The sequence below is a fragment of the Homo sapiens genome, chromosome 2 (genome assembly GCF_000001405.40).
Source record: "Homo sapiens chromosome 2, GRCh38.p14 Primary Assembly".
Classification (NCBI taxonomy): domain Eukaryota; kingdom Metazoa; phylum Chordata; class Mammalia; order Primates; family Hominidae; genus Homo; species Homo sapiens.
Genome location: NC_000002.12, coordinates 130955621 through 130977922, shown reverse-complemented (window position 1 = coordinate 130977922; position 22302 = coordinate 130955621). Strand labels below are relative to the sequence as shown.

General features: G+C 46.9%; 1 protein-coding gene across 7 annotated transcripts in view, besides 1 other annotated feature; it reads right to left on the bottom strand.

Annotated features, from left to right (window-relative positions):
• The window catches only part of ARHGEF4 (Rho guanine nucleotide exchange factor 4), a 210340-nt gene that overhangs the window by 69331 nt on the left and 118707 nt on the right, over positions 1 to 22302 (bottom strand). For 2 of the 7 annotated variants that reach the window (NM_001375904.1, NM_001375903.1), the window contains exon 1: positions 13674 to 14268. The exons of 4 other annotated variants lie outside the window; for them this stretch is intronic. In NM_001375904.1, coding sequence (NP_001362833.1) covers positions 13674 to 13731 — 58 coding nt within the window. In that variant the 5' untranslated portion in view covers positions 13732 to 14268. Of the gene's footprint in view, positions 1 to 13376; positions 13434 to 13673; positions 14269 to 22302 lie in introns of those variants that run through there. One more of the 7 variants, NM_001375902.1, reaches the window with a different exon arrangement.
• Positions 10641 to 11260: an enhancer, noted in NCBI's record as "OCT4-NANOG hESC enhancer chr2:131724236-131724855 (GRCh37/hg19 assembly coordinates)". NCBI's record gives its function as "activates a minimal SCP1, AML or CMV promoter by ChIP-STARR-seq in naive H9 embryonic stem cells {active_cell/tissue: H9 hESC(naive)}" and the evidence as "EXISTENCE:reporter gene assay evidence [ECO:0000049][PMID:30033119]".

The window sequence follows — 22302 nt, the reverse complement described above, 5'->3', positions numbered from 1 at the left end:
GGATTTGAGCCTGAGCTCCCACCTCCTTGGCTGCTGCACCTGATTAAAGCCTTCTTCCTTGGCAATACTTGTTGTCTCAGTGATTGGCTTTCTGTGTGGTGGGCAGCAGAACCTAGACCAAACCCCTGGTGACACATACACAACTCACCATGCATGCACAACTCACACAACATACACACATACACATGAAACACCACACACGCACAAGATGCAAAAAAAACACGTTTGCACAATGCACACAGCGCACACACACACACCATACATACACGACACATGCAAAACACAAAACACACACAGCACACACCATACATATGCAACGCATATGCACCACACATACACAACATACATGTAACATGCCCAACACACAAAACCCAGAACATACACACAATGTATACCACACATGCACAACATACATACACATCATAAAACCACTATACACACAAAGCACACACAACATAAACACTACACACACACGCAACATACACCACATAGAAAACACAAACACACCCCATACACAAAAAACACATCACACAACACACACAACATACGCAACACAATATAGGCACCATACTCTACACACACCACATACTTAACGCACCAACTACAAACACAAACACACACTATGCATACTAACACTGACACACCACACTAGCACATACCACACACTACACATGCACAGCATACACCACACACATCACACGCACACCGCACAAAAACCACCCATATCACACCACAAACACAACACACAATACACAGAAGCACAACACGCTACACACTAACATACACAGACATCACACAAACACATCACATACACCACACACACTAACACACCACACACACCACACAGTAACACACATACAAAACACACCACACACCAACACACACACCATTCACACTTAACACACACTGCAAACACATGCCAGACACAGTAATATACACTACAAACACACCATGCACACTAACACACCACACATACATCACACACACCACACATACTAACACACCATACACACCACACACTAATGCATACCACACACACACCATGCTCACATACACCAGACACACACCACAAACACGCCAAACATACACAATGCACACACACATCACTGCCTCCCTCTGGGCTCTCTGCAGGCGAGGCTGTGCTTGGCTTTCTGATGGGCCCTCTTCTGCGGGAGCCAGCACCTGCCATCTGCCAGCTCTTGCCCCCAGTCTGAGACCCCACCTTTTCCTTCTCCACCACATCCTACACGTCGAGTTTTTGGTTGAGATTTTAGGACTCGTATTTATTTCTGAAATTTCGTGGAGTGAGGCTTTTCACACCTGCCTTCCTATTTCCCTGTCTCCTCCCTGTGAATCACTGGCTGGCACAGTTATTGGCTGACTTTAGTGACCGAAATTCAGAAGGCTGCTTGAAAGGCCTCCCGACTGCCTAACTATTCTCTTCCCATGCTCAGAGCTCAGGAAAGGTGTGCAGCGTCTGCGTGCAGGTGCAAGCAGGAAACTAAAGCACTTTCCAAGTATGATCCTCAGGAAACTAGTTGTACAGATGTGTACACACACACACACACACACAGACACACACACACACACGATTCTGGGGCCGAATGAGTTTTGAGAGCTCTAGATGCAAACAGGAACGTCCTAGGCTCTGCGATGTTTAACCACACTCTCCAACATATCTGACTCATGGATCCCTTTTCCCTCTTATCCCTCAAGACCAATGCCCTGGGCCACACACCCTGGGATGTTCCAGGACATGGCTGAGCTTCTTCTTCACACTCATCACCTTGCACAACCTCTCCATGTGTCCATTCCCTCACTTGTTTCACAGAGACTGGAGGCAGTCCGAGCAGAGTAAACACGGGATTCGGATAGACCTGAGGTCGACCCTGGGCTACTCCAGCAGCCAGCCTGTGACGGACCCCCATGGGACAGTTATTTAGCCTCCGGGAGCCCCCATCTTTCTTACCTAAGAAACAACTGCAGTGAGAATGGAGTGGAACCCTCCTGAGCGCCCGTCCTTTCTCCTTGCCCACCTCCCTCAGCAGTCCTCCGCCTCTGACCGCCCAGAGCACTGTGATGGGACAGTGACGCCTCAGTGCCAGGCCTGGATGCCAAGCAATGACTCTCAGAGCAGTTCATGTTTTAAAATGTGCCAGGGATTTGTTTTAGTCATGTGTGGTAAGATACACAGACATGGAAATGGCTGTCAAGGAAGCCATTACAGTTCTTCCAGTTTTACTTACAGTTCTGTAGAAGTGGGGTGCAGGGCATGCCACGTGCAGCCTTCTGGGCGGCACAGGTGGGACTGGAGGCAGGGAGCAGGGCAATGGGGACAAGAGTCACTTCCATGGGAAAGGCAAGGCAAAGTGGGGCAGGCAGGCATAAGATGGGCTGGGTCTGAATAATTTCCAGAGGCTCTGGAGTGAGGGCTGTCCCGAGTTTTTTGGTACCTGGGCCTGGGATGACTAAGGTAGGGGCCCAGTGGCTCAGCAGGTTAGAGCCCAGCAGAGGAGGTTTTGAGAGTAAGGGCTGTGGCCTGGTGGTTTGCATCTGAAGAGCATGCTCTCAGGTGGGTGTCTGCTGTCTCTAGGAATTAGCTAGCCCTCCGAGGGGCAGTCTCCAGGGTCTGGAAGGCCCCAAGATGTCAAAGCATCAGGAAATACAGAAAATTTAAAAATGATTCACACAATTAGCTCCTTAGACACTTGGAAGGAGAGGATGCGATCCTCACTGCTAAGTCCAAGTTGTCCACGTGTCCAGAACTTAATTCAGCATTTCCCTCATCCAAATCTATTTGTCCTGGACTGCGGCCCTCAGACAGCACGTCCATCCGTCCATGTACCCAAGGCAACCCCTGGGGGTCACAGACGCTGCTCTTAAAAAAGAGCTTTACACCTGAGACTAACTTATTTTTTTTTAAAGGAAAAGGAAAAAGAACTTTAGTATCAAATAATATACTGATGCAAAAAATTGAGTCTCTGTTAAACAATTCTTGGATTATAGGTCAAGAGGCTGTAGAAGGTTATCTGTTGCTTTCTGTGGAATCTACTCAGATGGCAGAGATTCTGTGTATTATCAGAATCAATTCTTGTGTTTTATGTTAAGTTTGTCATGCCCTTGAGTATTTCAGAAAACAAAAATTTCTTACTCAAAAAAGTTGCCGGGTGCAGTAGCTCACACTTGTAATCCCAGCATTTTGGGAGGCCAAGGCGGGTGGATTGCTTGAGCTCAGGAGCTTGGGACCAGCCTGAGCAACATAGCGAAACCCTGTCTCTACAAAAAATACAAAAAAAAAAAAAAAAATAGCTGGGTGTGGTGGCGTGTGCCTACTGTAGTCCTAGCTACTCAGGAGGCTGAGGTGGGAGGATCGCTTGAGCCTAGAAAGTGTGGAGGCTGCAGTGAGCCAAGATCATGCTATTGCACTCCAGCCTGGCAGACAGAGCCAGACACTGTCTCAAAAAATAAAAACAACAAACAAAAAGAGCTAGGATTCTTTACAGTTATGTTCATTTAAATATATTTTATTTTTAATAAAATAAAACCTGTAGGGCAAGGTTGATAAGGAAAAAAAATTATTGTCACTTTGGTCAAATAGTTAGCCAAGTATTGTTCTTGATAGCCCATGTTTCTATCTTTTTTTTTTTTTTCCAGACAAGATCTCACTCTGTTGCCCCATCTGGAGTGCAGTGGTGTGATCTCGGCTCACTGTAGCCTCAATCTCCCAGGGTCAAGCAATCCTCCCACCTCAGCCTCCCAAGTGGCTGGGACGACAGGTGTGTGCCATCATGCCTGGCTAATTTTTTTTTTTTTTTAGTAGAGACAAGGTTTTGCCATGTTGCCCAGGCTGGTCTTGAACTCCTGAACTCAAGGGATCTGTCCTACTCAGCCTCCCAAAGTGCTGGGATTACAGGCATGAGCCACTGCACCCAGCAAGATTCTATCTTAATCAGTGTTTAAATCAGATGACTTCTGATAACAGACAACAGACAACTTTGATATTTTGCCTTTCCAAAATCAAACACTAAATGATAACTTTTGTACCTAAAATTATCTTTGAGATTTCCCAGTAGGCCCCTGGAAAGTATAAATCATCTATTCTCTCACCTTGCAGACAAAACAAGTGCTAGGAATATTTAAGTTTTGATATGTAATGTTGGATATGTTACTGCTGATTAGCTGAATGGGAAGAGCTGTCGAATTGGAAGAGATGCTGAGCCTTCTCTAGGTCAGATATGCATGGGTAAAATGGTAAATATTTTGGAAATGTTATGCTGTATGGGAAGCTCCTGGAGCTTCACTGTCCATGATGGGTATCCACTTATCAGAGCCCTGGTGCTCCTCTGCCTGGTATCAAAGAGTAACTTGCAAGAAGTGCTAGTATGGGGCCAGCAGTCATAATTTCATTTATTTTATTTATTTATTTACTATTTGGAGACACAGTCTTGCTCTGCCACTCAGGCTGGAGTGCAGTGGGATGATCTTGGCTCACTGTAGCCTCCACCTCCCAGGTTCAAGTAATCCTCCTGCTTCAGCTTCCCAAGTAGCTGGGATTACAGGCTTGCACCACCATGCCCAGCTAATTTTTGTATTTTCAGTAGAGACAGCCTTTCACTGTGTTGGCCAGGCTGGTCTTGAGTTCCTGGCCTTACGTGATCTGCCTGCCTCAGCCTCCCAAAGTGATGGGATTACAGGCATGAGCCACCTCATTCGGCCTCATTTATTTTTTAAATGTTAACTTGATTGCAACTTTACTTCTTTTATTTGCATCCTTCCTGTAGGCCAGCAGTTTTAATTGGGGGTTCACATCACTTACCTGTGGAGGTTTATTAATATACAGATGTTTAGAGCTTGCTCTAGACTTACTGAATCTCTTTATAGATATTCTTGGTATAATCTTTGTATATTCCAACTGTATGCTTAGTATTTTCATGATATAATTTTGTCAGGATTATAATATGTTGTATCTGAAGATATTAAAGATTATGTTCATCCATTTCTATAGTTAGGTGTAATGTTAACTATCTTCTTTGAAAGTAAGCTTAATCATTATATAATTTTGTTGTCTCATATTTGTTTATTGATTTTATCTTGTTTTGTATATTGCGGAAACAATCACATTTCCTTGTCAGTTGCACTATCCTTAGTATGAGCTCTCAGCAGATCTTTCACTTTTGAAAATTATCAGTAACACATTAACCACAACCACTTTAAGTCTTTCGCTGATAGTTTACAGATAGGTTTTTGTTTTGTTCTGAAGTTTCAGCTACTAGCCTGAGTGCTTCTTCAACAAAGAAGTCTGTCTCTTCTTTGGAAAGGGCCCTGCCAAGAACTCTTGGGTGCAGGCTTCTGATGATGTTATGTCAACAACTTTGAGACCACAACAGAGGACTGAGTCAGGATTTCCAGAACTCTAGTTCTGAATGCAGGTTCAAGAAACTGCAAACCCAAGAGAGAGTGGAGCAAGGATTAATCACATAAACCCAAATGAACTCAAGAAGGTGACTGTGGCTCTTATTATTAGGAGCATTGCTGATATTTTAATGTTCTATTTTCTGGAATATAAGGATCTCCTTTTTCTTTTCTTTCAAGGTATCTTTAACTCATTAGTAGGCCTTTAGTAGACTATGCTCTTATAAACTGAAATGAAACATTTGTAAGTGATATATTTTTCTCCTGCCCAAGCCCTCAGAATTTGGAAATTCTTACTGAGTATTCTTATTTTCGCGGCAATATAATTATTTCATAGGTTCAGTAAGAATCTGTCTTCCTTGTTAACAGGACATTTATTAGAAACATTAGTTATACAACCCGAGGCCTTGCCTGGAATGACTTATTTGAGAATGATGTTCATTTAATTAAACATAACCAGACACTTTTAAAAAGCTAAGGTTGACTTTATGGAGCCAATGCTTATAAAGGCCTGTTGGAAAAACTGGCCTAGTACCTGGCTTATGGGGCCCCCAGCACTATAGATTTTACTTAGGAAAGTCACTGTCTGGCAGACCCAGGAACTTGAAAATATATTGGAAACGTCGAGAAGAGAAGAATTCACCAAAATGTATAGGCACTGCAGTGAGGTCTGGTGGAGAGCTCTTGGCGTGGCCGCCTCGCCTCAGATGTATGATGTTTCTAAACTGACTCCATACTGTTAAGATTTCAATCCTCCCAAAACTGATCTACAGATTCAACACAATCCATATCAAAACTCAAGAGGATATTCTGTAGATACTGACAAGTTGATTCTTTTTTTTTTTTTTTTTTTTTGAGACAGTCTCCCACTGTTGCCCAGGCTGGAGTGCAATGGCACAATCTCGGTTCACTGCAACCTCCACCTCACAAGTTCAACCAATTCTCCTGCCTCAGCCTCCTGAGTAGCTGGGATTACAGGCGCCCGCCACCACGCCTGGCTAATTTTTGTATTTTTAGTAGAGACGGGGTTTCACCATGTTGGTCAGGCTGGTCTCAAACTCCTGACCTCGTGATCTGCCCGCCTGAGCCTCCCAAAGGCTGGGATTACAGGCGTGAGCCACTGCACCTAACTGATATTGACAAGTTGGTTCTAAAATGTATATGAAAAGGCAAAAAAGAAGAAGAATTAAAACAATGTTGAAAAAGAAGAACAAAATTGGAGGACTCACATAACTGACTTAAAACTACAGCATGGAACAGAACAGAGCTAGAAATAGACCAACACAAATATAGACTGTTGTTTTTTGACAAAGGTACAAAGGAAATTAATGGAGAAAAAAAGTCTTTTTAACAAATGGTGCTATAAAAATTGGACATGCATATGCAAAAAAATGAACCTTCACTCTTATCTTGAACCTTAAAAAATTAACTCAAAATAGATCATAGATCTAAGTACAAAATATAAAACTGTAAAACCTTCTAGAAGGAAACAAACATAAAAGAAACTCTCTGTGACCTCAGGTTACATAAAGATTTCTGAGATGTACACCAAAAGTATGTTTTATAAGACAGAGAGATGAAAAATTGGATTCCGTCAAAATTACAAACTTTTGTTCAGCAAAAGACACTATTAGCAAGTAAAACACAAGCCACAGACTAGAATAAATATTTGCAAATCACATATCTAACAAAGTACTTGCACTCAGAATATATAAAGAACTCTCCAAATACAACAATAAGAAAACAAACAATCCAATAAAAATTATGTGGGTCTGGATGCTTCAACAAAGAAGATATGCATATGCCAAACACCCACATGAAAAGATGCTCAGCATTAGGAGTTGCTAGGAAAATGCAAATGAAAACCAAATGAGATACTACATACCTAATAGATGGCTTTTCTTTTTTTTTTTTTTTTTTTTTGATGGAGTTTCACTCTTGTTGCCCAGGCAGAAGTGCAATGATGTGATCTTGGCTCACTGCAACCTCCGCCTCCCGGGTTCAAGCGATTCTCCTGCCTCAGCCTGCCGAGTGGCTGGGATTACAGGTGTGCACCACCATGCCCGGCTAATTTTTGTATTTTTAGTAGAGATGGGATTTTACCATGTTGGTCAGGCTGGTCTCGAACGCCTGACCTCAGGTGATCCACCTGCCTCAGCCTCCCAAAATGCTGGGATTACAGGCATGAGCCACCATGCCCAACCTAGAATGGCTTTTAAAAAACCTGGCAATACTAAGTGTTGGTGAGAATATATATCAAGAGGAACTGTAAAATGGTAAAGCTACTTTGAAAGAGTTGACAGTTTCTTATACAGTGAAACACGCACTTACCATATAACCCAGCAATGCACTCCTAGGTATTTACCCAAGAGAAATGAAAACTTACGTACATACAAAGACTCACATACTAATGTTCACAGCAGCTTTATTTGTAACACCCTAAAAGTAGGAACAATCTGAGTATCCTTCAGCTAGTGAATGGTTGACAAACTGTGATACATCCATTTGCTGAAATACTATTTAGCAACTAAGAGGAAAAAACCTAAGGATAAATGCAACAACATGAGGATGAATCTCAAACGCAACACATGAGGTTAAAGAAGCCAGTCAAAAGGCAACATGATATGACTCCATTTCTACGGCATCATGGAAGAGACAAATCCCTAGGGATGGAGTCTAGATCAGCGAGGCACTGGAGTTGGGGAATGAATGGACCACAAAGGGCCTCACTCATGTTCTGGGGCAATAAAACTCTTCTATATTTTTATTATGGTGGGTAGTTACCTGCATGTGTCTGTCAAACTCTAAGAATTGTACACCAAAAAGTGTGCCTTTTACTGTATATAACTTTAAAAATAAATACAGATGGCCTCTGACATAACGATAGTTTGACATATGATTTTTTTTTTTTTGAGACGGAGTCTCACTCTGTCACCCAGGCTGGAGTGCAGTGGCGCGATCTCGGCTCACTGCAAGCTCCACCTCCCGGATTCATGCCATTCTCCTGCCTCAGCCTCCCGAGTAGCTGGGACTACAGGCACCCACCACCATGCCCGGCTAATTTTTTTTGTATTTTTAGTAGAGACGGGGTTTCACCATGTTAGCCAGGATGGTCTCGCTCTCCTGATCTTGTGATCCACCTGCCTCGGCCTCCCAAAGTGCTGGGGTTACAGGTGTGACCCAACGCACCCGGCTGACATATGATTTTTTGACTTTACGACGGTGCAAAAGTGGTACATATCAGTAAAAACTGTACTTCAAGTACCCACACAACCATTCTGTTTTTCCACTTTTAGTACAATATTACATGTGATATTCAACACTTTATTATAAAATCAGCTTTATGTCAGATGATTTTCCCAGCTTCAGGCTAATGTAAGTGTTCTGAGCACATTTAAGGTAGGCTGGGCTAAGCTATGATGTTCAGTAGGTTAGGCGTACTAAATGCATTTTCTACTTATGATCATCTCTAAGAGGGGAGAGCAGGCAAGCAAGCAAAGTAGCCACAAAAACTTTCTGCTTAAAACCTCTCCACAGCTCCAAGTATAATGGATAGTTCATATTTCTTTATTTTTAATTTAATTTTATTTTTTGAGACTGAGACTTGCTCTGTTGCCCAGGCTGGAGTGCAGTGGCGCAGTCTCGGCTCACTGCAACCTCTGCCTCCTGGGTTCAAACAATTCTCCTGCCTCAGTCTCCCAAGTAGCTGGGACTACAGGCGCGTGCCACCACACCCGGCTAATTTTTGTATTTTTAGTAGAGACGGGGTTTCACTATTTTGGCCGGGCTGGTCTCAAACTTCTGGCCTTGTGATCTGCCCGCCTTGGCCTCCCAAAGTGCTTGGATTACAGGCATGAGTCACTGTGCCTGGCCAATAGTTCATATTTCTTAGCAGGGAGCTGCAGCCGGCCTGTCTCTAGCCTCATTTCTTGCAGTGCTCTTCATTTCATACTATTTGCAATTGCTGCAGACTGAAAGCATCCAATGCAGTACCCAGAACAGGGGCTCAGGGCACACAGGTTCCCTTCCTTCCTACATCCTTCTGCATTTGTTTATGTTAGTCCTCTCTCCCAAAAGCTCTTACCAAACTGTTCCTTACCAAGGCTAACTTGCAGGTCTTAGGCCTCAGGGAGAGCCTCCTTCTGAATGGTTTCTCTGAACCATTTCCTTCCTGGCCTGCCCCACATTATAGGTTGGGTCCTACTTTAAGCTTCCTCATCTGTGCAGTTAAGGCTTGGGGATGTTTAAACACTACAAATTCCAAAGGGAGAACTGGCCCTTGACCGGCTCCTACAAGATCACCTTTAAGCCCTAGGAATATCCTGACTGATCAGAGTCACTTTGTGTATCTAGGGCCTTGGGCCATGCCAGATAATTTCCCCCAACAATGTGATTTATGGTTGGGGGGTGGGGGCTTGAACTACACTGTATTAGTCTGACCTTTGGAGGGGCTAGAGACTGAGCAACTAAGGTCAGTCTTGTGGGTGCTGCCTGCCTAAATAACTGACCTCCACCCTGAACACCAAGGCTTGGGGAACTTATCTGGTTGGCAATATTTCACAGGTGTCACATATTGAGGCAGAGTGACTGAAGCATCGTCCATGTGATTCCACAGGAGGGGACACCTGGAAGCTGGTGCCTGGTATCTCCTGGCCTCTGCTCTAAGTGCTCTTTGCCTTTGTTGACTTCAGTCTGTACCCTAACACTGGAATAACTCAGAACCTCTGGTATAACCATGTTTTTGAGCTTCTGTCAGCGTGCTTAGCACACATAATGGGGCATCACTGTCTGTCTCCCTGTGCTGTGATTTCTTTAAGGGCAAGAAATGTGTATGATTCATCTACCACCTCTAGAGCCTAGCACTGTGCCTGGAACACAACAGGTGTTAAATAAATGTGTGGCTGCAGGAGAGGCCTTGCCTGCGGATGCATGCTGCAGAAGCCTGCGGGGGAATGTGGAAGCAGCATGGCTTCTCCACCAAGAAGAGATCCCATGACACTGACCATGGAAAAGGAGGTGAACATGAAAACTGTCAGCCCCAGAAGCCCGAAGAGAGAATTCGGCTTGTCAGATGACACATCCAGAACAGAAATTGTGAAAGCTTCAGCTGAGTACCAGCAGTGTGGCAGCACAGCTGATGGGCTGGAGGCTCCAGGGGCCCGAGGGGAGATGAGAACAGCGGGGCAGAAAGAAGGGCCATGGAAATTCCACCCTGTCAGCTATATTTCGTGTTCGGATTATGCCTCAAAGGGAAGTCCTCTCCACAGCCAGATGAACGACATTTCAGTGGAAATGCCAACACAGAGCATTTAAAATTCAAGGAGTCTTTTGAAAGCAAGGCGAGTCTAGAGGCCCTGCCTGGATTCCTTGTCTACTGCTGTGCGCCCTGTGAGGAAGCTGCTATCCAGTCACAAGCACTCACTTTTCAGATGCTTGCTGGGAACTCCAAAAATGTTTAGCGACAGGCCCCACCACAAAAATCACACCACAATCAAGCTGTGCTGACGATCCCTTACTGGGAACTCTTAATCTTCCTTAAGAGAGAAATGCAGTTCAGTTAAACACATGTGTCCTTTGTCTCAGCCGTTAGACTAGTCAAACAGAAACACAATGTGCAATCAATGGCGACTCAGTGGGGCGCACCCCCCAGATCAATACCCCTGACTAGAGTCATGGCATTTTAGAGGTGATTAGCAAAGAGGTCAGACCTTTGCTTTTAATTTCTTTGCTTTGCAAATAGGAAAGCTGGCATCCAGGAAAAAGCCATGATTGTTGAATGAAAACAGTAACATCAGCGAGTGTGTGAGCAGTCAGGACTATTCCAACGCACCACCGGACCGGCATGCTGCCCGTCCTCGCTGGCACAGACTGGCTGAAAACCCAGCAAAGAGCCTCATCACGTTACATCCAGCCGGGCCTGAAGCTCTGCTCAGACGCAGCCTCACCAGGTAACCTTGGATAAGTTACCACACCTCTGAGCCTGTTTCAAATCCAGATTAGCAGGGAATATTGTGCCTGGCATGTAGAGAGTGCTCAAAAGGTAACCTCCCTTCTCTCCTCCCTTCAAGTTCTCCTCCCTTACCAGCCTTTTCCAACCATATTCAAACAGGATTATTTGAGTGCCTGTTTCCGCAATTCCTCCCAGGGACAGGAAATAGCTAGTTCCGTTGTAGAAGAAGAGAGGCGAGTCTTAGGCACAGTTAATTCTGACCAGTTGAGAAGGACAGACGGCTTCACAGATTCAACTGGCTCTAAGGCATACACGGGAGTGTCTTTTTACACATCGAGCATTGGTCACTGCTGATGCAGGTCCTACCAAACAAGGCAGGAAGTGGGGGCAGAGAGGATGAAGAGGTGACTTTAAATGTCTTCCTCAGTGCCTCTGTGGCTGGTTACTGACCAGCACTCCCCGGGTAGTGTGCTGCCTGTGGACCTAGAGATACCCAGAGCCTACCCTTAGTGGTGCAGTGTCTGTGAGGGGCACAACATTCGTTTCTGGGTCTCACATCAACTCTGACTACATCATGTTGTTTTAAACCCTGCCCTGCCATTGCCGGGCAGCCCTGGGCCCCTCAAAGAGCAACTTCCTAGGCCTCAGCTTTTACCCTGTCCTCCTTCCCCACCCCCTGCTCCCAACTCTCTCTCTCTCCAGATCTTCATGCAAGCATCGCTGTTATCTCGGAAAATTATCCAGGCTGCCTCTGTGTCCCTGGGCTGCCTAATAAACCAGGGAGTCCCTGGATCTCTGGGCTGCCTAATAAACTAGGGTCTCTGCCATTTCCATCTGTCTCACTGGCGCACTTACCCTGGGACAGAAGGAAGAAAGAAAGGAGGAGGTGTCCCCAGGAGGACTGAGGCCTCTGGAAAGGAAGGAAAGCCGTCTGAATAAGGAAAGGGGCAGGAGTCCTCTGCCAGTTTGCTTCAGGCCCCACTTAGGGTATGATCTAGCTTGGGGTTCCCAAAATGGGTTCTATTTAAGCTCCAGAGAGGAGGGAAAGGACAGTTTCAAGGGAACAGGGATGTGATGGAATCAGAGCTGCAGAACAATGGAAAACTCTCCGTTGAAGGAAACATCAACAGCTGGATTATTCAACTTTTCTGAATTTCATGCGTGTGTTTTGGGAACGGGCAGATGAGTCATGGAGTGCTCAATGCAGAGGTCTGCATGTCCTTCACTTCTCTCTCCCAAACTCGCTGACTGCAAAGTCCAAACTCTGAATCTGTCATTCCAGGTGCTCTCAACCCAGCCAGAGCCGACCTTGCTCTATATCTGCCCAACAAGGCCTGTGCTCCACATTCTGCCATCCCTATGGCCCTCTGCTCCTCTGGCTTTGATGCTCTGAGTCTCATTCCACACCTACGTGAGGCCCTGCAGCTTTCACAGGCTGCACCTCCAGCCCCATGCAGAAGCATAGTGGGTGTATAACTCTCTCATTTCCAGGCAGCAACTGTTGCCCTTGACAAACCCCACTGCAGAAGCTACAATATTTGAGAATGTTTGCAAGAAGTGAAATATAAATAATTCTGTCAGCAAATAACCAAGGGTAAGGTGATCACCATTCATAAAACCACTCTTGACTTCCTTGCTCCATTAATATTTAGGGACAAAATCTTCCTCTCAACCAGTAACCCAAATTAGGCCCTCCAGGTAGATTCGGGAGCACTACAGGGATCACACGGTCCCAGGAAACACCAGAGCAATGCCAGGTCGGTAAAGCGCAGTCTTGTTCAGAGGGGTCCAGGACCAGCTGCCTCCGCTGGGAGCTGCAGTCCTGCGGTCAGGACCAAGCGCACTCACAGCCAGGTGGCGCAATCCGTTCCACCCTCGGCCAGCGGCCCCCTTCCATCCTCCTGGCTTTACAGAGGCTAAGCAGCTGCGGTAGGTAAAGCCAGACAGGTGCAACTGGTCAAGAACAGTTTGGGGAAAGGAACACAGCGCATCGGGCACCAAATTCTAGTCTCACCTTAATCAGTTTCCCAGTTGACAGCGCGCTCTGGTATGGGGGCCAACAAGGTCCCGGCTGTAACAGGTGGCCCACCGGTAGACGTGGATCAGAGAGACAGGCAGTGGGAATCAGAAGGAAACCAGAAAAAGAAAAGGAATAGCAGGGCGAAGCAATGGGAAGGAAGGGACCAGGAGATGGAAACGACAGGCAGAAAGTGAGGGAGGAGAAGGAAAGGCAGGAGGGGGGCGGGGGGTCCCAAGAGCACAGACCCGGGCGCGGAGGGCGCGTGCGGCGCGGGGATGGCGGCGTCCTTACCGGCGGTGGCCGAGCGCAGGCTCTCCAGGCTCCAGGAGCGGGACACGGCGCCGCGCATGCCCCCGTTGCCTCCGCGGCCGCCACACACCACGCCGCTGCTGTCCGAGTCGGAGCCCGGGGACAGCCCGGCGCTGCTGCTGCTGCTAGTGCCGAGATCGCCACTCGTCTGCCCGCTTGACTCGCTGGGGCATTGCTGCGCCCGCACGCAGGCGGGCCCGAGCTCCAGCCACAGGCTCGGGGAAGGCTGGGCCGGGGGCGGCGGTGCGGCGGCCGCGGGGCTGCCGGGGGACGGGGCGCGCGAGCCCGGGCCGGGGTCGCAGTCGGAGGGCGAGGGGCGTGCGGGCCGGCTGACATCATGGGGCTCCGTTAAGGAGGCTCTCAGCCGACCCCCCGCTCGGGCTCTGTGGCCGCGGCAGCTGGGACCCTTGGCAGGCGCGGGGCGCGCGCGGCTCGGAGCGAGGCCAGGCGCCCTCCCGGCAGAGCGCAGCGCGTCAGCTCGCTGCCCACTACCGGCCGCCCGGCGGGCGCTGAGCCTCAACGGCGACCCCAGTGCGGGTCGCGGGCCCGGTCGGCACGCGCTCACGCACGCGCGCACGCAGGCCTGGAGCGGCTGCGGCGGCGGGCGCGGGCGCGGGGCTCCGGGTCGTCCTCGGTGCCGCAGGGCCGCGCCGCCGCCACCTGTGTCCGCACGCGTGTGTTAGGACAGGGCCATCCTTAGGAGGCGACGCCCAGGCTCGTCGCAGCCGCGGTGGTGAGGAGGGCTGGTGGGCGCCCACTTTTTCACCGCAAGGATTCCAGCTCAGACGGTTGGCGGCGCCTCCCACGCCATCCAGGGCGAGGACGCAAGCAGGTGGCCCCGCTCGGCCCAGGGCAGAGACCCGGCGGGCAGGCGTGCGCGCCGGCGGGGGGAGCGCGCTCAGACGGGACACGACCCTCATCTGCGCTCAGCCAGGCGCACGGTGAGCGTGGACCACCGGGCGCCTGCGACCCTCCTGACAGCCCGGGCAGGACACACCCTGTGGTGATTAAGGGGCCGAGGAAAGTCCATGCCAAACGATTTTAGAAAGCGTGTGGAAGAGTTCAGTGACCGGGTTTTACAGTGCAAGAGTTCACACACGAAGATTGGGGCCACGAGGCCCACTGCAAGGAGCCAGGAGTTTTATTTTTTTCGGAGTGTGTGTGCGAGGTAGGGGGTGGATAAGGAAGGGCATTACTATTTCATCTGCCCCTCCCAGACACACACAGGTTCTTCTAGGTTCTTAGAGTCCACCCAGAAGCTCCACACAAGGTGACAAGTCAGGATATGAAATGCAAATGCAAATTCCAGGAGGTGAAAAACTGTGGGAGACTTGGTCTCCCTTTGGAGGTTGAGGGGCAGTCGTGATAGCGGCTAATCAGGGCTGCTGATGGCCTTCCCCTTACTGCCCCCCTCCCCGCCCCGACCCCATGTACACAGCATTATCATTCCCCCAAAGCCCTTGGGGGCTGCTTCTAGTGTAAGCAGCAGAAGTATTGAGAGGGAGAGGATGAAATGAGAGGTGCATGCCTTGCTCCAGCACACCAGCTAGTATAGGGTGGGTGCTAGAAAACTGGGCATTTGGTGCCCTGCCCTCCACTGGGGTCCATTTCCTGTGGCCCATCTCCATCCGGAAGCTATATGTGCTCCAAGCTCTGTACCATAAGAGGCCCTGCAGCTTCATAGACGCTTTCTCCTCTCCTTGTGAGACCTCTAGTATCTTGTCTATCATGAGTATATGATTATTTGACCTAACAACCCAGGGGGCTGGGGCAGTGGGCCACCACAGGCTTAGGTAGACTGGAAGCTCCATACATGCTTAAGGTAATAACTGGTGTTGCTGGGTATTTAATTTGATGAGAATTGGGGGATGACTCAGCCAGATCATCACATCAAAGCCCCCTCCTCAGTTCCTCCAGGAAAGAGTGCCTTTCCTGGTCACTCTGTAGCCAGCACGCAACCTTCCAGCCTCTGCTTCCTTTTTTTTTTTTTTTTTGAAACGGAAACTTGCTCTGTCGCCAGGCTGGAGTGCAGTGGCGCGATCTCAGCTCACTGCAACCTACGACTCGCTGGTTTAAGCGATTCTCCTGCCTCAGCCTCCCACGTAGCTGGGATTACAGGCACGCGCCACCATGCCCAGCTAATTTTTGTATTTTTAGTAGAGACAGGGTTTTACCATGTTGGCCAGGATGGTCTTGATCTCCTGACCTCGTGATCCGCCCGCCTCGGCCTCCCAAAGTGCTGGGATTACAGGCATGAGCCACCGCGCCCGGCCTGCTTCCAGTCTTTCTTGTCCTTGGGAAGAGCAGTTCTCCCACTCCTCAGCCCTCATGCAGGCTCTTCTGCATGGGGTCACCATCTGTGTCCTACAGCTGTCCTCTGAAGGCTGCAAGCTTAGCCCTGGTGGGTGGGGAGAAGTGCTGGGGAAGGGATGGCCACTGCCAGAGCCCACTACCCCTCCCAGGCCATCAGCAAGTCTTGTGGGGTCTACCTTCAAAATAAATGTCCAAGTTGTCCGTTTCTCTCTTACTCCATTGCTACCACCGCCATACCGTGCTTGGCGACAGCGTCAGTGTCACCCACTGAGCAGCCCAAGGGAGCTCTAAAATACACATAAATCACATCTTGCTCGTTTCCTGCATCATTATCTTCAGAGGCTTCCCTTCACACTTCGTAAGACCTGGGGGATGCTGCATGTTCTGCCTGATTTCTCTTCCTCCTCCTGTCCCTCTCTGTCCCATGCTCCCTGCACTTCTGCCACAGCCGCCACCTTGCTGCTGTTCCTTCTTGCCTCAGGGCCTGGCACTTACTGTCCCTTTCACCTGGGATGCTCTTCTCTTGGCTTTTCATGGCTTGGCTCCTTCTTGGTCTTCAGATCTCAGTGAATGTCCCCCCTCAGTGAGGCTTCACTGATTCCTTCTCAGCACTTATTCCATCTGTCAGTGGCTTGCTGCTTCTCCCGTCTGCTCCCTGCAGACCAGGTGTGCCATGAGGGCAAAGGGGCATTACCCATCACTGTGTCCAGGGAGTACAGCGCACCTGCTGCAGGCTCCATGCTGGGCAAGCAGCCCGTGGAGGAATGAGGGGGCTGGACCCAATGGTCAGCTGGGAAGGAGAGGGAGGATTCTCGCTGTCTGGGGTCAGGACTTTCAGGGGCCTGAGGTGTGTTGCTAAGTGGAGGGTGCCATGCCAGTGCCTAAAGATGGCTGTGGCCTGAGCAGAAGGAGCCTGTGTGAGCCACTGTGTCAGCCAGACAGCCGAGCCCCATGCTTTTACTGAGTCCATTTCCCTTTTTAATCTTCCGGAGACCTCAGTAATTTTGAATCAGGTCTCCTGCTCCTAGCTGTCTTGTGGGTAAGGGTAGAGTGTCCCCATTTGAGCTCCAGTGTGAAAAGGGGATCTATGTTTCCTAAGACCCTGGGGGTGAGGACAGCTGAAATTAACACTTACCATCAAAGGTGCTGGGGATCTCTGGGGACAAAGACTGGTGCAGGGAGACTTAGCTGCCTTCACCAGGGGAAGATTCCGTCCCCATAAAGCTTACAGGCCCACTTCTGATACTATTAAAAGAGATGGGTGATCCCTTTACCATCATATGGTAGGTTTATAATCATAAATAATCATTTAGGTACATTTACATATATTGCTCATATACAGTCATGAGTTGCTGAACAAGGATATGTCCTGAGAAATGTGTTGTTAGGTGATTTTCTTGTGTGAACATCATAGAGCATAACTTATACAAACCTAAATGTATAGCCTACTGCACACCTAGGCTATATGGTAGAGCCTACTGCTCCTAGGCTGCAAACCTGTACAGCATGTTACTGTACTGAATACTGTAGGGTGATAACACAATGGTAAGTATTCTTATATCTAAACAAATCAAAACATAGGAAAGGCACAGTAAAAATATAGTATAAAATATTAACATCGTAATGGTACACTTGTATAAGGGACTTAACATGAATACAGCTTGCAGGACTGGAATTTGTTCTGTAATGTTTATAAAGTCTACATAGTGTACAGTAATATCCTAGGCCTTCACATTCACTCATCACCTGATGATTTTTTTTTAGCTCCATTATAATCTTAGGGGACCACCATTGTATATGCAATCTGTAACTGACCAAAATGCCATTATATGGCACATGACTGTATATATATTGTGTGTATATGCATGCAACGTGATTATGTATGTATGAATTAATAATGCAGTGTCTTTATCAGAAAGGCCAGCACAGAAGGTTCAGTGTTTTTTGAGACTGGCTTGATGATGTGAAGGTGGTCAATGAAATTCTACTGTACACAAAAAAACAGAAACAGAATGGGATCAAAGCTTGTCTAAGTCTAGAGACAGGCTTCTGCTCTGTCTCTCCTAATTAACCCTGCACTTCAGTTTCCACAACAGTGCTGGATGGAAAGAAGCCAAAGGCCAGAGTGATGTGGGTTCAATCCTGGGTTCAGTTCTGTCTCTTCCTAGTTGTGACCTTGGGCAAATTACTTAATCTTCCTGTGTCATTCTCTCCTTATCCACAAATAGGAATACTGACAACTACTTTTGCAGGATTATTGTGAGGATTAAGTGAATGATGTGTAGATATGCAGTCACACCTAGCAATGTCTGAAATATTAGCTGGTATTTATTAAGCATATACCAGATGTGAGGTACTTTGCATATACTATTTAATATCTACAACTTTATCTGATAGCTACTATTTTAGCCCCATTTTACCACTGAAATTAACTGAGGCTCAGAATAATCCAAGATTATACGCTCAGAAGTGGTGGAATTGGTTCCAGTGCTCGCCACTCATGCTTTGAACCACTGTGCAACCGTTAATTCCCTTTCTCCCCATTCAGAGGATTCCCCAGACACTTTGTGTTGGAATACCATCAATGTCCTTGGCAAATGACACTGTAAACCTTCTATGTGCAGAACATCATGCTAGCTGCTGGCAATAAAAGAAGGAAGTTTAAGAAATGTATCTAGGCTGGGCGTGGTGGCTCATGCCTGTAATCCTAGCACTTTGGGAGGCCGAGGCAGGCAGATCACCTGAGGTCAGGAGTTCGAGACCAGCCTGGCCAACATGGAGAAACCCCATCTCTACTAAAAATACAAAAATTAGCCTGGTGTGGTGGGGTGCGCCTGTAGTCCCAGCTACTCGGGAGGCTGAGGCAGGAGAATCACTTGAACTCAGGAGGCAGAGGTTGCAGTGAGCCAAGATCATGCCACTGCACTCCAGCCTGGGCAACAGAGTAAGACCTCATCTCAAAAAAAAAAAAAGAAAGAAAAGAAATGTATCTAGATATGCCATGAGCACAGCCATTCAACATCTGCTCTAAGACTCTCACTGAAATGACCAATACTAGAGAAAATGAGATTGACTTTTGCAGGACAGTGAGAGGAACTCCATTGACCTGATCCTCAGTGAAACTGGTGAACACTGTTTTAAAAACAACCATTTAAAACCTCTGGAATGGTCCTGAAGAGTAAACAGCAAATAAAGAAACATCTATTCAAGGCCGGGAGTGGTGCCTCATGCCTGTAATCCCAGCACTTTGGGAGGCTGAGTTGGGCAGATCACTTGAGGTCAGGAATTCAAGACCAGCCTGGCCAACATGGTGAAACCCCGTCTCTACTAAAAGTACAAAAATTAGCCAGGCATGGTGGCACACACCTGTAATCCCAGCTACTTGGGAGGTTGAGGTGGGAGAATCGCTCGGATCGGGGGGGCGGAGGTTGCAGTGAGCTGAGATTGTGCCACTACACTCCAGCCTGGGCAACAGAGCAAGACTGCGTTGCCTCCCACCGCCTCCCCAGCAAAAAAAAAAAGACTCCATCTCAAAAAAAAAGAAACATCCATTCAAGAAAATCAATGACAATTCAGTAAGAAAGGTGAGAATCTGTAGGGTTTTAACCAAGATCATTCCCCTCTCCCCCTTTACAGCTCACTGAGGCAGAGACTCCACTTCAGACTACAGCCAAAAACACAGGGCTCCTTCTCCCTACACCTCTCAGCCAGGGATCTTTCTTCCCTGGAAGAGGAGGACAGTGGTATTTCTCATCCTGCCCCCAGCCACCTGTTGCTGAGGCTTAGTCAGGAAGCCGTCTGTTACTGATGAGAGTGGTGAGCCGGGGTGACTTCCTTCTTTGGCAAGCTGAGCATACTGAGCCTTGGGGAGCCTTTACCCCTGCTTCTTTCTTTTTTTTTTTTGTTCCTTTTAAAAACTTTATTGAATATAAATTACATACCATTAAAATCTACCCATTGTAAAATGCCTTAGTTCAGGCTGCTATAATTGGATACTACAGACTGAGTGGCTTATAAAAAAAATAGGAATTTATTTCTCACAGTTAGGGAAGCTGGACGTCTGATATCAGGGTGCCAGCCTGGCCAAGTTCCAGTGAGGGCCCTCTTCCAGGTTGCAGACTACCGATTTCACATTGTATCCTCACACGGTGGGAAAGAGGGCTAGAGAGTTTTCTGGGGTTCTTTTATAAGGGAACTAATCCCATTCATGAAGGATCCACCTTCATGATCTAATTACCTCCCAAAGGCCTTACCTCCCAATACCATCATATCGGGGTATAGGATTTCGACACATGAATTTTTGGAGGAACACAAACATCCAGCCCACGAGTGTACAATTTAACAATTTTAGTATATTTGCAGTTATCAACAATCATTACAATCCAATTTTAGAACATTCTCAACACCCCCACCCAAAATGTTCCTTCATGCCTATTTATAGTTAATCCCGATTCTCACTTTATGCAACAACTGTTCTGATTATTGTCTCTATAAATTTGTCTTTCAAGAATTTCATATAAATGTAATCATATAATATATGATCTTTTGAGCCTGGCTTCTTTCACTTAGAATAATGTTTTGAAGTTCATCTATGTCGCAGCATGTATCAGAAGTTTATTCCTTTAATTGCTGAACTGAATTCCATTGTAATGACATACAAAAAAAAAAAAGAATGAGTTGGGAAGTGTTCCCTCCTCTTCTACTTTTTGGAAGAGTTTGTGAAGAATTAGTCTTTTTATTTTATTTTATTTGTTAACAATCCTTTAAAATGTAAAAAACAAAAAACTATTAAATTGCACACTTTAAAAGGGTAAGTTTTATGGTATGTAAAGGAATTGAGAAGAGCCTGTAATCCCTGAAAAGGCTTATCTATTTTTGGTTTAACTTTTTTCTTAGGGTACAACACTTTATTTTTTATGTATTTATATATTTATTTATTTATTGGCTTTTTTTAAAATTATACTTTAAGTTTTAGGGTACATGTGCACAATGTGCAGGTTAGTTCCATATGTATACATGTGCCATGCTGGTGTGCTGCAGACTCGTGATTTGGCATTAGGTCTATCTCCTAATGCTATCCCTCCCCCCTCCCCCCACCCCACGACAGTCCCCTGAGTGTGATGTTCCCCTTCCTGTGTCCATGTGTTCTCATTGTTCAATTTCCATCTATGAGTGAGAACGTGGTGTTTGGTTTTTTGTCCTTGTGATAGTTTACTGAGAATGATGATTTCCAATTTCATCCACGTCCCTACAAAGGACATGAACTCATCATTTTTTATGGCTGCATAGTATTCCATGGTGTATATGTGCCACATTTTCTTAATCCAGTCTATCATTGTTGGACATTTGGGTTGGTTCCAAGTCTTTGCTATTGTGAATAGTGCCGCAATAAACATACGTGTGCATGTGTCTTTATAGCAGCATGATTTATAGTCCTTTGGGTGTATACCCAGTAATGGGATGGCTGGGTCAAATGGTATTTCTAGTTCTAGATCCCTGAGGAGTCGCCACACTGACTTCCACAATGGTTGAACTAGTTTACAGTCCCACCAACAGTGTAAAAGTGTTCCTATTTCTCCACATCCTCTCCAGCACCTGTTGTTTCCTGACTATTTAATGATTGCCATTCTAACTGGTGTGAGATGGTATCTCATTGTGGTTTTGATTTGCATTTCTCTGATGGCCAGTGATGATGAGCATTTTTTCATGTGTCTTTTGGCTGCATAAATGTCTTCTTTTGAGAAGTGTCTGTTCATATCCTTTGAGGTACCCCCCAGTAGGGGCAGACTGATAGCAAAAGAAACTACCCCTGCTTCTAAGGTGGTGGTTCCATGCCAGGAGAGGCAAGCTGAGAGGACATTAGGCTACTGCTCTCCCTCCCCAAGGGCTCCACAGAGCTTGAGCTCTGGCTCAAAGATTTTGCCTGGGGGAAGCAGGTTGTAAAACAGATAGCTCCTGATCTCTTCCTAAAGGAACTGGGCTCAGTTTGTAACAGAGCATGGAGAAGCTGCAACCTAAAGGTGCTTTCAAGAACAGTGGAGGTTGCAGTGAAGGAATTAAGAGGAAATCTGTGGCTCTAATGGACATATAGCCTGGACTGTAACCCCACTAGTTTGCATGAGAGAACAGAGAATAAGGTAGCTGGGAGGAGCCCTTCTAGGATCAGAAGAAATACCAAACACTGACCTCAGAAAGTGATCCTTTCTGAGGTGTGCCAGCATTTGATAGCTTGTAAAGCAATTTATGCCCCAGGACAATATTGAAAATAACAGAGCAATCAGCAACCAATGAGTGGAGC